At 46.2% G+C, this 16,447-nt stretch overlaps 1 protein-coding gene across 13 annotated transcripts in view, besides 4 other annotated features; it reads right to left on the minus strand.

Annotated features, from left to right (window-relative positions):
* The window catches only part of STX2 (syntaxin 2), a 49,651-nt gene extending 46,530 nt beyond the window's left edge, over positions 1–3,121 (minus strand). For all 13 annotated transcript variants that reach the window (NR_182217.1, NR_182216.1, NM_001413773.1 and 10 more), the window contains exon 1: positions 2,941–3,121. Coding sequence is in view for 8 of the 13 variants with exons in the window: in NM_001351049.2 (NP_001337978.2) it covers positions 2,941–2,970 (30 nt within the window). In the remaining 5 variants the exon portion in view is untranslated. The remainder of the gene's footprint in view (positions 1–2,940) is intronic.
* Positions 2,685–2,744: a silencer, noted in NCBI's record as "silent region_5091". NCBI's record gives its function as "represses an Ori minimal core promoter by ATAC-STARR-seq in GM12878 lymphoblastoid cells {active_cell/tissue: GM12878}" and the evidence as "EXISTENCE:reporter gene assay evidence [ECO:0000049][PMID:35858748]".
* Positions 2,815–3,324: a silencer, noted in NCBI's record as "silent region_5092". NCBI's record gives its function as "represses an Ori minimal core promoter by ATAC-STARR-seq in GM12878 lymphoblastoid cells {active_cell/tissue: GM12878}" and the evidence as "EXISTENCE:reporter gene assay evidence [ECO:0000049][PMID:35858748]".
* Positions 13,875–14,169: a silencer, noted in NCBI's record as "tiled region #8535; K562 Repressive non-DNase unmatched - State 8:EnhW". NCBI's record gives its function as "represses a minimal TATA promoter and a strong SV40 promoter by Sharpr-MPRA in K562 cells {active_cell/tissue: K562}" and the evidence as "EXISTENCE:reporter gene assay evidence [ECO:0000049][PMID:27701403]".
* Positions 15,325–16,233: an enhancer, noted in NCBI's record as "H3K4me1 hESC enhancer chr12:131335999-131336907 (GRCh37/hg19 assembly coordinates)". NCBI's record gives its function as "activates a minimal SCP1, AML or CMV promoter by ChIP-STARR-seq in naive H9 embryonic stem cells {active_cell/tissue: H9 hESC(naive)}" and the evidence as "EXISTENCE:reporter gene assay evidence [ECO:0000049][PMID:30033119]".

Here is a 16,447-nt window from a genome sequence, read left to right on the forward strand (position 1 = left end):
GGACACATTTCCTGGGGCGGGGCGGGGGAGGGGAATTAAACTTGTATCTGGTAACTTTAAGATGGGTTTTTAAATATTAAAAGTTATTAAACTTCAAATTCAGTTTTAACTTACTATTTTATACTAGGGAGAAGGTTGTTCTTTTCTCTTTTTTTGAGACAGGGTCTCAATCTGTCTGTTGCCCAGGCTGGAGGGCAGTGGCAAAATCTTGGCTCACTGCAACCTCCGCCTCCTGGACTCAAGCAATCTTCCCACCTCAGCCTCCTGAGTAGCTGGAACCACAGGCATGCACCACTACACCTGGCTGAGTTTTTGTATGTTTTTTGTAAAGACAGGGTTTTGCCATGTTGCCCAGGCTGGTCTTGAACTCCTGAGCTCAAATGATCTGCCCACCTCAGCCTCCCAAAGTGCTGGGACTACAAGTGAAAGCCACTGTGCCCAGCCAGAAGGCTGCTTTTTATAACTCCCTAAAAACAAAAAATCTGGTAAACATTAATCACACTTATAATTACATAGCACTTGCTCCCTCCCACCTTCTCCCAGAGCTTCACACATTAGATAATTTTATGCTTCATAACTCCCTCTATGAGGTGGACAAGAGAGATACCACTGTCCCCATTTCACGTACAAGAAAAAGTTTTGAGAGATTTAAAAATTATTTGCCCAAGATGAGAAACTCCATGAGTGGAAACTTCCACGGATATACTCTCTGACTGCTCAGCTGCTGTGTCTAAAGCAGGATGGTATTGAAGTAGATGAGCTGACTTCTAGCTCTGCCGTTCTAGAACAAAACTGATTGACATGTTCTACTGTTTCAGGAAGGGTTTGGATATATAGAAACTGAGTGACAAATAATTGCCTTATTTGCTTTTTGCTATTCAAGCCAAGAAAACGTACTTTCTCACGATTCCCCAACATATAAATTTGGCTGTATTTTGCCAAAATAGTCACAGCTCTCACGTTCAATGACATTGAGCTTTTTTTTTTTTTTTTTATGAGACAATGTCTCACTCTGTCACCCAGGCGGGAGTGCAGTGGCATGGCACAATCATGGCTCACTGCAGCCTCTATCTCCTGGGCTCAAGGAATCCTCCTAGCTTAGCCTCCTGAGTACCAAGGACTACAGGTGCGAGTCACACCTGGATAGTTTTTTTGTGCGTGCTTTGTTTTGTTGGTTTTTCTGAAACAGAGTCTCTTTCTGTTGCCCAGACTGGAGTACAGTGGCACAATCTCGGCTTTCTGCAACCTCCGCCTCCTGGATTCAAGCGATGCTCCTGCCGCAGCCTCCAGAGTAGCTGGGACTACAGGTGTGCGCCATGACATCCGGCTATTTTAGTAGAAACGGGGTTTTGCCATGTTGGCCAGGCTAGTCTCCAACTCCTGACCTCAAGTGGTCCACCCAACTCGGCCTCCCAAAGTGCTGGGATTACAGGCATGAGCCACTGCGACTGGCCTCCTGCTAATTTTTTAATTTTTTTCGAGAAACAGTGTCTCCCTGTGTTGCCCAAGCTGGTCTCCAATACCTGGGCTCAAGTGATGCCCCCACCCTGATCTCCCAGACTGCTGGGATTACAGGAGTGAGCCACAGCTTTTCTTCATTAAATAAATACCTGAGCTCCTACTACACGGCACTGAAAGATAATCCATCGGGCAAGACAACACAACTATAATTTGCTGTGTTTAAGATGATATTGATCTGCGGAACACAGGGAATATTTGTCCATTAATAAAAAAGGAAAAATCACCGTGAAGAAACTTCCTTGGAATGAATATAAAGCATAATTTCCATGATCCTAAGGATGAAATCATTGCCTTTCTCAACCAGAGCTCCTCATCTGAACCACAGAACACAGATAATGATTTAAGTGGCTCTTTTCTCTATTCTCCCACTCGGGGGTACATAACAGCTCCATTCTAGCAGCAGAGGAGAGAGAATAATTCATTACATGCAGTGGGTGTCGTAGGGCTGTGGGCCTTAGCACCCCTGTTCTGAGGCTGCCAACAATTTAGAGACCAGAGGCTCTATCTGTGCACACACGTAGCATGAATTAGTACCTGTATTGTAAAGGGAAAAAGTCATAACTACTTCTGCTGGCCTAAGCCGTCCTGGGTTAGACAAGCTTGGAAAGTGCACGACCATCACTATCATTCCGCTGTCACTGCACCATGCACAGTCCTGTCACCTTTACACGTGTAGAATGCATCGAAATCCTTCCAAAATTTTTAGTGACCTGCTTTTCCCTTGCTAAAGTAAACAGTAACTTGCTGTGTGCCCGGCTGCTGGGCGCGTAAGGTGCGTTCAGAGTCAACACACGGTCCCAGTTTCCAAAGCAAACTACTGGGAGATCAGACACAAGCTGCTGTTCGCGCTCGCCCCACCCCAAGCACCCAGCACTCTAAGGTGCCCACATTTCACACCCATCTGTTGCCTCCCGCTTGGTGCACAGTCCTTTGTGAAGCCCCAGGGATAAAGCAGCGACCAAGAGGACCCGGCCTGCTCCCCGGGGCTGACGCCAGCTGCGGGGACCCCGTGGGGCGGACCACAGTTAGGCCAGTGGGCTCCGGCTGGGTAAGCGCCAGATACAATCCGCCAAGCGGAGTGACGGACAGGGAGCCACGCTCGAAGAGGGGGTCGAGGCCGGGACCTTCCCCGCTCCCTCCTCCTGCCCCAACCCGCCCTGAGGACTCCGCCCAGGAAGCCCTGGGGACCCCGCCCGGAGCCCCCACCCTAGGACTCCCGGGACCCCCGCCCTGGGGACCCCACCAGCAGTCCCCGCTCAGGACTCCCTGAGACCCTGCCCGCAGCCCCCGCCCCAGAACGCCGGAGATCCCCGCCCTGGGGACCCTCCCGGAGCCCCGCCCAAGACGCCCCGAGCCCCCGCCCGCCCTCCAGACGCCGCCCCGGCCGGGCCTGAACCGCTACCCGCGGCTGCCGCTCACCGCCGTCAGGTCTGGCAGCCGGTCCCGCATCCCCGCCGGCCGGGCAGCGCGCCCCGCCGCTCAAGCCTGTCCCGAGCTGCCTCCGGCCGGGCCTCGGGCTCTCCGGTCTCCGCCTCAGGCCCCGCGGTCCCGGCCCGGCGCCAGCAGCCCTCCCTGGAGCCGGCGCTGCCACGGCAACCGCGCCCCGCGCGCTCTGCGCATGCCCGGCCCGCGCCGCGCCCCGCACCCACCCACACGGCGGCAGCGCTTTCCAGCGGGAGCCCGGAGGGGCGGGGCCTGGGGGCGGGGCCTAGGCGGGGAGGGGCGGGGTCCGGCCGAGCCCCAGGCTGGCAGTTCCGCTACACGTGCTGTTTGTCCCTTGATCTGCTTTTATGCTTTCACACTCATTGTTTTATTTATCAAAATATAGAGCATTCAACGAATAGTGACAAAAGAGCAAAGCTCCCGGAATGTGCTGGGTGCAGCTTTGGGTAATACATATGCCGAACCTTCTCTTTAAGGGTCCACGCGCAGCCTCGGGTGTGAATGAAGGAGAAGAGATCGTGTACCACACATGATGCTTACGGAGCATAACACGGCAGGGGGCGGTAACGGGAAGAGCGTCCGCAGGCCCAGCCCTGGGATACCATTCTGGCAGGAGAAACAGGCAATACAGACACAGACAAATAAATGATAGATGAGAAAAGAAAGTAAGGGCATGGGCACGGAACTGGCAGAGAGGTCGTCATGAAGGTGCAGGAGCTTAGGTGAACTACCCAGGTTGGGGGAACAGTCCCCAAGACCATTATCACCTCTGACACCAACGGCAAATTCTGGCGGTTTCCAAAACCACCTTCAAGTTCCATAATTTGCTAGAAGGAATCACAGAATACACTAAAAACTACTGTACTCACAACTATGGTTTCTTAGCAGGAAAATGATACGGATTAACATCAGCCAAGGAAGAAGGGCAGAGGGGGAGTCTGGGGATTACGGCGTGCAGCTTCAAGGTCCTCCCGTGGTCCTCTCCCTGTGTAGTCAGGCCTCATTACTTGCCCTGCACTGATGTGTGGCCTTACACACGAAGTACTGCCAGCCAGGGAAGCTCACTTGAGCCACAGTGTGCAGAACGTTTACTGGGCTCCATTGCATGTGCATGATTGATTGATTGTTTGATTGCTTTCATGCTTGATCTCAGCCTCTTGGTTAAGTGATATCCATGTAACCCTAAGCCCCCACCATAAATCACACTGTTACTCTCTGGCTAGCCGAAGACTCCCAGGCAAACAAAGATTGCCTTCCAGGAGGAGAAGGCAAGGCCAGATTTGTTTTTAAACAAGGTTAAAGTCTTTACTGCCTCCTGGAGGAGGTGGCTTTGGTCTGACCAGAAGGCAGCGCTAAGAAATCTGCTTGAGAGCAACAGGCTACACATTAAAAAACAGGACGTTTTGGACTTGGTTCTAGGTGTGATGTGGTTCTGTTACCCGATGGAAGGTCTTGACAGCCAGTTGTCCAGGTGAGTGTGGTGGCGGGCACCTGTAATCCCAGCTACTCAGGAGGCTGATGCATGAGAATTGCTTGAACCCGGGAGGTGGAGCTTGCAGTGAGCCAAGATCGCACCACTGCACTCCAGCCTGGACAGTAAAGCGAGACTCCGTCTCCAAAAAAAAAAAAAAGATATGTTTTTTCTCTCCATATCCTGAACTTCCCCACCAGAATGCCTCCTGGACCCCGCAACAGGCAAGTGCTTTTCTTTCGGCCTTCTTGCCTCTGCCACCACCATTTTAATTCTCCCTCTCTGGTAAATACTGGGCCCTCCCTCGTTTCTCCCTCTCTCCCAGTGGATTTTTCAAAAACATATGATAATATTGGCAGCAGCTGGATGGTGTTGAATTGGCAACCAAAACTTTTTGTTTGTTTGTTTGTTTGTTTGAGACAGAGTCTTATTCTGTCTCCCAGACTGGAGTGCAGTGGCATGGTCATAGTCCACTGCCGCCTTGAACTCCTGGGCTCAAGTAATCCTCCCACCTCAGCCTCCAAAAGCACAGGGACCACAGACATGAGCCCACCATGCCCAACCTCAAAACTTTCCTTATCCTGCCAGAGAAAAAAAATGAAGTTGTGAATAATCGTTGTGGGAATTCAGGGACCCTGAATGGAGGGACCGGCTGAAGCCATGGAAGAAGAACATAAATTATGAAGATTTCATGGACATTTATTAGTTCCCCAAATTAATACTTTTATAATTTCTTATGCCTGTCTTTACTGTAATCTCTGAACATAAATTGTGAAGATTTCATGGACACTTATCACTTCCCCAGTCAATACCCTTGTGATTTCCTAGGCCTGTCTTTACTTTAATCTCTTAATCCCATCATCTTCGTAAGCTGAGGAGGATGTATGTCGCCTCAGGACCCTGTGATGATTTTGTTAACTGCACAAATTGTTTGTAGAGCATGTGTGTTTGAACAATATGAAATCTGGGCACCTAGAAAAAAGAACAGGATAACAGCAATGTTCAGGGAACAAGAGAGATAACCTTAAACTCTGACTGCCGGTGAGCCAGGCGGAACAGAGCCGTATTTCTCTTCTTTCAAAAGCAAATGGGAGAAATATTGCTGAATTCTTTTTCTCAGCAAGGAACATCCCTGAGAAAGAGAAAGCATCCCTGAGGGTAGGCCTCTGAAATGGCCGCTTTGGGGGTGGCTGGGCATGGTGGCATGTGCCTGTAGACTACTCAGGAGGCTGAGGCAGGAGGATTGCTTGAGCCCAGGAGGTTAAGGCTGAAGTGAGCTGTGACTGTGCCACTGCACTCCAGCCTGGGCAACAGAGTGAGACCCTGTCTAAAAAAATATATATATACACATACACACATGCACTATAAATATATAGTATATACATACTATACACACACATATAGTGTATACATGCTATATACACACATATAGTACATACAAGCTATATGTATATACAGATCGCAGCTGTAGGGATGAAATAAGCCCCAGTCTCCTGTAGCCCTCCCAGGCTTATTAGGACGAGGAAATTCCCGCCTAATAAATTTTGGTCAGACCAGTTGTCTGCTCTCAAACCCTGTTTCCTGATAAGATGTTATCAATGACAGTGCCTGCCCGAAACTTCATTAGCAATTCTAATTTCTCCCCGGTCCTGTGGTCCTGTGATCTCGCCCTGCCTCCATTTACCTTGTGATATTCTATTACCTTGTGAAGCATGTGATCTCTGTGACCCACACCCTATTTGTACACTCCCTCCCCTTTTGAAAATCGCTTATAAAAACTTGCTAGTTTTATGGCTCAGGGGGCATCACGGAACCTGCCGACATGTGATGTCTCCCCCAGACACCCAGCTTTAAAATTTCTCTCTTTTGTACTCTGTCCCTTTATTTCTCAGACCGGCCAACACTTAGGGGAAATAGAAAATAACCTACGTGAAATATTGGGGATGAATTTTGCCCAATATCTGGCTGAATTTCCCCTGATAAATAATAATGTGTAATTTATCATTTTTGTTCATATTACATACATACATATGCAGTCAAGGTGTTTTTGGGGTCAAAACATCAACCAGATCACAACAGTGCGTTCAAAACACCATCATAACAGCCAAACACTAAAATTGAATGAAATCTACATGGAGGCTGAGGTGGGAGGATTGCTTGAGCCCAGGAGTTGGAGGCTGCAGTAAGCTGTGATCATGCAACTGCTCTCCAGCCGGGTCCACAGAGCAAGACCCTGTTTCTAAAAAATAAATAAATAAATAAATAAATGTTTAAAAAACTTAAAGAAGAAAACGCGAAAGAGGCAGAGGAAGAGGAAGAAGGAAAAAAGAGAGGAAGAAGGAAAAAAGAAGGAAGAAAGAAAAAAGGAAGGAAGGAGAAAAAAGGAAAAAGAAAGGAAGGAAGGAAGGAGAAAGGAAATATGGAAGAAAGAAAGAAAGAAGAAGGAAGGAAGGAAGGAAGGAAGAAAGAAAGAAAGAAAGAAAGAAAGAAAGAAAGAAAGAAAGAAAGAAAGAAAGAAAGAAAGAAAAGAGAAACAAAGGGCTAAGTTACATTCCCGAGAAAATCTGACTGGAGCCTGGGCAACATAGCAAAACACTGTCTCTGCAAAAAATTTTTAAAAATTAGCTGGGCATGGTGGCATGTGCCTGTAGGTTACTCAGGAGGCTGACGCAGGAGGATTGCTTGAGCCCAGGAGGTCAAGGCTGAAGTGAGCTGTGATTGTGCCACTGCACTCCAGCCTGGGCAACAGAATGAGACCCTGTCTAAATATATATATAATATATATTACATATATATATAATTTATATATATATTATATATATTATATATACATTATATATATAATATATATAATTTATATATATATATTATATATTATATATACATTATATATATAATATATATAATATATATATACACACACATCCACTGTAAATATATAGTATATACATACTATATGCACACATATAGTATATACATGCTATATACACACATATAGTACATATAAGCTATATACACCCATATAGTACATACAAGTGGTATACACACACATATAGGATATACATGCTATATATACTCATATAGTACGTGCTACATATACACATATATAGTATATACTATATAGTATGTATATGCTACATAGTATATAGTATATACACACATATGTATATAGTATATACATGTAGTATATATACACATATGTATGTATGTATATATGTATATATAGTATATATTGTATATATACTACGTATATATAGTATATATTGTATGTATACTACGTATATATAGTATATATTGTATGTATACTACGTATATATAGTATATATTGTATGTATACTACGTATATATAGTATATGTCGTATATATCATATATATACTATGTATATATAGTATATATCGTATATATCATATATATACTATGTATATATAGTATATATCGTATATATGCTACGTATATATCTTATATATGCTACGTATATATAGTATATATTGTGTATATACTACTGTATATATGGTATATGTTGTGTATATACTACTGTATATAGTACATATACAATATATACTATATATGTATATACAGAATATATACATATATGTATATACACAATATATACATATATGTGTATACACAGCATATATTTTATATGTATATACACAGTATATACTGTATATGTATATATATACACACAGTATGTACTGTATATGTATATATACAGTATATACTATATATGTATATATACTGTATATACTATATACTGTATATTCTATAATACAGTATGTACATGCTATTTATCGTATGTATATACTATAATACAGTGTATACATGCTATTTATCGTATGTATATACTATAATACAGTGTATACATGCTATTTATTGTATGTATATACTATAATACAGTATATACATGCTATTTATCATATGTATATACTATATTTGTGTATAGTATGTATATACTATATGTGTGTATAGTATGTATATACTATATGTGTGTATAGTATGTATATACTATATGTGTGTATAGTATGTATATACTATATATGTATAGTGTGCATGTGTGTGTGCATGTGTGTGTGTATATATGTATGTTTTTTTTAGCCAGGGTCTCTGTTGCCTAGGCTGGAGTGCAGTGGCACAATCACAGCTCACTTCAGCCTTGACCTCCTGGGCTCAAGCAATCCTCCTGCCTCAGCCTCCTGAGTAGCTTACAGGCACATGCCACCATGCCCAGCATATACATATAGTATGTATATTCTGTATGTATAATATGTATATACTATATATGTATGTATAACGGGTCAAGTGCTCCGTTTAACTGTGATTCTAGGACTTTCTATGCTGGCCCAACTCTGGCATCTTGCACCACTTTCCCATGATTCTTCCCTTAGGGTGGCCTGCCCGCATGTGTAGTGCTTTCTTCATGCTGGGGAAGTGAGCATGTGCAGTATGTTTAGCAAGCTGTACGCATGCCCATCTGAGACTTTCTTCCCTTTCCTAGCAGAGAGCCCCACAGGAGGTCATACTCCGCCATTTTGTCTCTTAATGCAAATGCTCAGACTCCCTTGCCCAATACCTGAGATTTTATTAGAATCCCTTTCTGCTTCTCCTGGCACTTGCCTTCAATTAACACTCTAATATAACCGCTGCAGACCATCAGGAGATTGTCTCTCGCTGGCGCCAGCTGCTGAATTATCATTTTGAGAGAGGCAGTGTGATCATTGTTGAACCAGCACCTGATGGTCTCCTGACATTCCTGGTGGGTCAGGGGAGAGCCCTCTCCTGCCCCACTCATGCCTGTCTACCTGTAACAGGCTGAAGAATGGACCCCAACAGAAGTACACCCTAATCCTCAGAATTTGTACTATGTCACCTTAGATGGCAAAGTCTATAATCACAGGTCATAGACTTTCCTGGAGTATTGGGAGTTAGCTCAGTCTAATCACACAAGCCCTCAAAAGCAGAGCACTTTCCCCAGCTGGAATAAAAGATGTAGCAGAGGGGGAAGTCAGACCCCAAGTGTAAGGATTTGATGTACTCTTGCTAGCTCTGAAATGTAGGGGCCCCATGCAAGGGCCCAAGAGAGACCTCTAGGAGCTATGGATGGACCTCAGTACACAGCCAGCAAAGAAATGGGAACCTCAGTTCTTGAGCTGTGAAGAACTGCATTCTGCCAGCAATAGGAGTGGGCTTGGAAGTGAATTCTCCCTTGTGCCTCCCAACAAGAGCCCAGGGGCTGCACCTTGATTTCAGCCTTGTGAAACCCAGAGTAGAGAGCCAGTGGAGCCCACTCAGGCTTCTGACCTACTGAATTGGGAGCTAACAAATGTGCCTTATTTAAAGTTGCTACGTCTTTTTTTGTTTTGTTTCATTTTGTATGAGACAGAGTCTGGCTTTGTTGCCCAGGCTGGAGTGCAGTGGCATGATCTTTGCTCACTGCAACCTCTGTCTCCCAGGTTCAAGCGATTCTCTGATTCTCCTGCCTCAGCCTCCTGAGTAGCTGGGATTACAGGCGCCCACCATCATGCCCGGCTAATTTTTGTATTTTAAGTAAAGATGGGGTTTCACCATGTTGGCCACGCTGACCTCGAGCTCCTGACTTCAAGTGACCCGCCTGCCTGGCCTCCCAAAGTGCTGAGATTACAGACATGAGCCATTGTGCCTGGCCCTAGAGTTGCTACATCTTTATCATTGTTACAGCAGCAACAGAAAACTAGCAGTCATTTAGTAAAATTAGGTATTTAGCTCCTGAAGAATAGGGAATATAGGCTGGAGGATAGATAATATATTATGTACCCCTTGTCAAGAAATGTTACAAGTGAATGAATGAACAGGGCAAGGAAGGTGATTTATTGATCTTGGTAGCCTTCCCTACCCCACACAGCTATGTTTCTGGTGGACATGAACTGAATAAATCAAATATTCAGTTAGTCCCCAGGGAATGAGAAGGGCATATATAGAGTTAGAACAGAGCTGAATGCATTCTGAAATCACAATAGGAAACAGATGTGAGAGTTTACAGGCTGCAGACTCATGGGCAATATACACATCTTCTATTCAGTCTAACATACCCCAGCTTTTCTCTGTACAGTCTAGGGTTTTCCTCTGCACCATTGGTTTTATTTCTCCTACTTGACTCACCCATCAGAAATGGTTGTTGGCCAGTGGTTCATGCCTGTAATGCCAGTACTTTGGGAGGCCAGCTGATCAGTTGAGGTCAGGAGTTCGAGACCAGCCTGAGCAACATGATGAAACCCCGTCTCTACTAAAAATACAAAAATTAGCCGGGCATGGTGGCGGGTGCCTGTAATCCCAGCGACTTGGGAGTCTGAGACAGGAGAATAGCTTGAACCCAGGACTTGGAGGTTGTGGTGAGCTGGGATCACACCACTGCACTCCAACCTGGACAGAGCAAGACTCTGTTTCAAAGAAAAAAAGAAAAGAAAAGAAATGAAATTTTTTTTTTTTTACTTTTAAGTTCAGGGGTGCACGTGCCAGTTTGTTATATAGGTAAACTTGTGTCATGGGGGGTTGTTGTACAGATTAGTACATTACCAAGGTACTAAGCCTAGTAGCCATTAGTTATTTTTCCTGATCCTCTCCCTCCTCCTACCCTCTACCCTCCAAAAGGCCACAGTGTGTGTTGTTTCCCTCTATGTGTCCATGTGTTCTCACCATTTAGCTCCTACTTCTAAGAGAGAACACGTGGTTATTTGGTGTCTGTTCCTGCGTTCCTTTGCTAAGGACAGTGGCCTCCAGTTCCACCCACGTTGCTGCAAAGGACATGATCTCGTTCTTTTTTTATAGCCGTGATTCATAAGCACACTGAAGTTTGAGCCCACACTCTAAAGATTAGAGCACATTGGCAACATGGCCTGCAGATGTATGGGATTCTTAGATTCATATTCGTAGTGTTTGTGTTCCTCGGTGTACAAGCCTGGCTGAACACCTCGACTATACAGAATAAGGTTTCCAGCAAATAGGCAGAGAAGCCGGCAGAAAGGGAGATGGGGGAACAGGGGGGCTTAGCATCGTGTTTTTGTTTTTGTTTTTGTTTTGAGGCAGGGTCTCACTCTGTGGCCCAGGCTGGATGCAGTGGCCCCATCTCACCTCACTGTAGCCTCTACCTCCCTGGCTCAAGCAATCCTCCCATCTCAGCCTCCCAGGTAGCTGGGACTACGGTTGTGTGTCACCACGACCCACTAATTTTGTTTATTTTTTCTGCAGACAGGGTCTCCCTATGTTGCCTAGGCTGGTCCTGAATTCCTGGGCTGAAGTGATCCACCCTCCTCAGCCTCCCAAAGTGCTGGGATTACAGGCATGAGCCACCATGCGTGACCCCTGGCCTGTTGTTTTAAAAGCACTGAAACCTTAAGAACATAAGCCCTTCATTATAAGGAATGATGTTGCCTTATAAAAGATGATGACAAATTTGCTTCATAAAATGAAGAAAAGATTTAAAAATACTCTTTACTGCTTCCTACAGGAAATCTGAGAAAGTTAATAAACACTGAGCAAGGGAGGCCAGCATGGTGGCTTACACCTGTAATCCCAGCACTTTGGGAGGCAGAGGTGGGAGGATCGCTTAAGTCCAGGAGTTCAAGACCAGCCTGAGCAACATAGCAAGACCCTGTCTCTATAAAAAATAAAAAATTAGCAAGGCGTGGTGGTGCAGACCTGTGGGCCCAGGTACTTGGGAGACTGAAGTGGGAGGATCGCTTGAGCCCAAGAGGTCAAGGCTGCAGTGAGCTGTGATTGTGACACTGCATTCCACCCTGGGCAACAGAGTGAGGCCCTGTCTCTATTAAAAACAAAAAACAGGGCCAGGCACAGAGGCTCACACCTATAATCCCAGCACTTTGGGAGGCTGAGGCGGGTGGATCATGAGGTCAGGAGCTTGAGACCGTCCTGGCTAACACGGTAAATCCCCATCTCTACTAAAAATACAAAAAAACGAGCCTGTAGTCCCAGCTACTCAGGAGACTGAGGGAGGAGAATTGTTTGAACGCAGGAGGCAGAGGTTGCAGTGAGCTGAGACCGCACTACTGCACTCCAGCCTGGGTGACAGAGTGAGACTCCATCTCAAAAAGAAAAACAGGCTGGGCATGGTGGCTCATGCCTGTAATCCCAGCACTTTGGGAGGCTAAGGCAGGCAAATCACTTGAGGTTAGGAGTTCAAGACCAGCCTGGCCAACATGGTGAAACCCCATCTCTACTAAATAAAATAAAAAAAAATCAGCCAGGTATGGTGGTGGGTACCTGTACTTCCAGCTACTCAGGAGGCTGAGGCAGGAGAATTGCTTGAACTGGTGAGGCAGAGGTTGCAGTGAGCTGAGATCATGCTACTGCACTCCAGCCTGGGTGACAGAGCAAGACTCCATCTCAAAAAATAAATAAATAAATAAATAAATAAATAAATAAATAAAATTAAAATAAAAAACAAAAGCACTGGTGAGTGAAGCCATTTTGGGCATTCTACTGCAACCCAGCTGCCAGCTTAATGTAGCAAGTGAGTGGACCCCAACCAACACCACCTGGAGCAGAAGAACCAACAAGCTGAGCCCTGCCCATATTCGTGACCCTCAGAATTGTAAACCAAAAAGTATCTGAGACAGGTCTCAATCAATGTAGGTTAAGGACATGCCTGGAAAAAATAAACACAGACTCACAGAAGCAATCATCTGTGGCCTCTGCCTTTCTCCAAAGATGATTTTGAGGGCTTCAGTGTTTAAAGGGGAAAAGCAGGCTTCAGGCGAAAAGGGAGGGTGTGGTCATCCACATGCTGCGAGAGAAAAGGAGCAGGTAGGGGAATCATCAATTATGTATTCATCTAGTGCCCAGTAAATCAGCACTTTATTTTTTATTTTTGTATATATATTTTAGGCAGGGTCTCACTCCATCACCCAGGCTAGAGTGCAGTGGTGTGAACTCAGCTCACTGCAACCTCCGCCCTCCAGGTTCAAGTGATTCTCTTGCCTCAGCCTCCCAAGTAGCTGGAATCATAGGCACCCACCACCACACCCAGCTAATTTTTGTATTTTTAGGAGAGACGGGGTTTTTGCCATGTTGCCCGGGCTGGTCTCGAACTCCTGAGCTCAAGGCATCTGCCCACCTTGGCCTCCCAAGGTGTTAGGATTACAGGTGTGAGCCACTGCACTTTATGTAGATAAGGTGAATGCAGAGTAGCAACCTGAGGAGGTGTTTAACCTTTGATCTGTAGCTGTCTGCTTCAGAACAAAAGGAAAGACAGTTTCATTCATGACTCAGCTTTCAGCTTAATGTTTTTCTTTTGGCAGAGTGAATTGGGGTCCGAGTATTTATTTTTCCTTCACAGAATCATGAGAAATTATAAATCATTGTTGTATTATGCCATTAAGTTTTGGGGTAGTCGATTATGCAGTAGATAACTGGAGCAAATAATTAAAGAGAATCTTGTTCATTTATGTAGAAATGTGTATTTAGTACCCACTGTAAACCAAAAATAAAATTCTAAGCCCCCCAACCATCTGAATGGACCCCTCTTCTCAGCCAAGGGCATTCCAAAGTAACCTGAAAAACCAGTTCAGGCCATGATGGGAAGTGGGGTTGGACATGCCTCATGATGCCCTCCTCCCTTTGGAATTCAGGAAAAGCGGAACAGCATTAACATCAACACAGACCTTAGGTCTGTTGAAACATTTACAATCTATTCTCTCTGAAGTCTGCTACTTGGAGGCTTCATCTGCATAATAAACTTTGGTCTCCACAACCGCTTATTGTAACACAGACATTTCTTTCTATGGACAGTAACTCTTTCAACCAATTGCCAATCAAAAAAGTCTTAAATCTACATAGGACCTAGAAGCCTCCCCCTCCACCACTTCAAGTTGTCCCACCCTTCCAGATCGAAGCGACGTAACTCTTACATGTATTGATTGATGCCTTATGTCTCCCAAAAATGTATAAAAGCAAGCTGTGCCACAACCACCTTGGGCATAAGTCATCAGGACCTCCTGAGGCTGTCATGGGTGCATTCTTAAGCTCAGCAAAATAAACTTTCTAAACTGATTGAGATCTGTGTCTCAGAGACTTTTGGGTTCACATCAGTATGTGCCATATACCGTTCTATGCTCTAGGAATATAGAATTGTATAGCATATAGAATATAAAATCCGTGCCTTCACAGAGCTTCTATTCAAGGGTGGAAGTGTGTGTGTATTCATGTGCGTGTGTGTGAGAATGTGTGTGCATTTGCGTGTGCACACGTGTGTGTGCACGTGTGTGTGTGCTTCTATTCAAGGGTGGAAGTGTGCGTGTATTCATGTGCGTGTGTGTGAGCATGTGTGTGCATTTGTGTGTGTGCATATGTGTGTGCACGCATGTGTGTGTGTGTGTGTGTAAGAAACAAACAAGATAAAAGAGAAAGGCCAGGCACTGTGGCTACACCTGTAACTGCTGTGTTTTGGGAGGCCAAGGTGGGAGGATCACTTGAGGCCAGGTGTTCCAGGCCAGCCTGAGCAACATAGCTGGGATCTACAAAAAATCTTTTTAGGCTGGGCGCGGTGGCTCACGCCCGTAATCCCAGCACTTTGGGAGGCCGAGGCCGGCGGATCACGAGGTCAGGAGATCGAGACCATCCTGGCTAACACGGTGAAACCCCGTCTCTACCAAAAATACAAAAAATTAGCCTGGCGTGGTGGCGGGCACCTGCAGTCCCAGCTACTTGGGAGGCTGAGGCAGGAGAATGGCGTGAACCCGGGAGGCGGAGCTTTCAGTGAGCCAAGATCGCGCCACTGCACTCCAGCCTGGGCGACAGAGCAAGACTCTGTCCAAAAAAAAAAAAAAAAACAAAAAAAACTTTTTAAATTAGCCAGGTGCGGTGGCATGTGCCTGTAGTCCCAGCTACTCAGGAGGCTGAGGCAGGAGTATTGCTTAAGCCCAGGAGTCCAGGAGGCTGTACTGAGATCTGATCACATCACTGCACTCCAGCCTGGACAACAGAGCAAGGACCCATCTCCCAAAAAAACAAAACAAAACAAAACAAAACAAACAAACAAAAAAACAAAACATATAATAAGTTCTGGGTGTGAAGTGCTCCAGAGAAAAATGACGCAGGAAAAGGGGACAGAGGGTGTCGGGGCAGGTGCAGTTTCAGGCAGGTCGACTGGGAAAAGCATCACTGAGATGATGCCATGGAGATGCCACTGTGGGCCTCCCAGATCCTTCTGGGGCCTCAGGGACTCCCTGCTCACTGCTCCGCGTGTTGCCGGAGCCACGGCGTTCACCTGAGTCCCTGGCTAAGCACTGCTTCCTGGGGGTGGCTGCATGCCGCGATGCCCACTGCTGTGAAGTGGGAGAACTCCAGCGGCAGCGCGGATGTCAGAGCTCAGGGCAGGAGCACCTCAGTGAGGCCTTGGTGGTCAAACCCACTTCCCAATCCCACTTTCTTCTCTCCTCCCTGAGTGTCAACCCTCCCAATAACTTCCTGTTTCCCAGGAACTGGACCCAAGACAGATGGGAATGGGGGAAGGAGACTAGCCATGCTTTCCACGCAGGGAGAACGGAGAAGGGCAAGGGCGGAGCAGAGGGCTCAGGGAGCCCGCAGAGGGTTAGGTGGCTCCTCCGCGCCAACCTCCAAGCAAAACCCTGACAGCGGCCGGGCGCGGTGGCTCACACCTGTAATCCCAGCACTTTGGGAGGCCGAGGCGGGTGGATCACGAGGTCAGGAGATCGAGACCATCCTGGCTAACACGGTGAAACCCCGTCTCTAGCAAAAATACAAAAAATTAGCCGGGCGTGGTGGCGGCCGCCTGTAGTCCCAGCTACTCGGGAGGCCGAGGCAGGAGAATGGCGTGAACCCGGGAGGCGGAGCTTGCAGTGAGCCGAGATCGCGCCCCTGCACTCCAGCCTGGGCGACATAGCGAGACTCCGTCTCAAAAAAAAAACAAAACAAAAAAAACAAAAAACAACAAAACCCTGACAGCAGCAGCGGGGCCTGCGCACTCCGAGCTCAGCCAGCGCCTCTCAGGCCTCATCCCT

The sequence above is a fragment of the Homo sapiens genome, chromosome 12 (assembly GCF_000001405.40).
Source record: "Homo sapiens chromosome 12, GRCh38.p14 Primary Assembly".
Classification (NCBI taxonomy): Eukaryota; Metazoa; Chordata; class Mammalia; order Primates; family Hominidae; genus Homo; species Homo sapiens.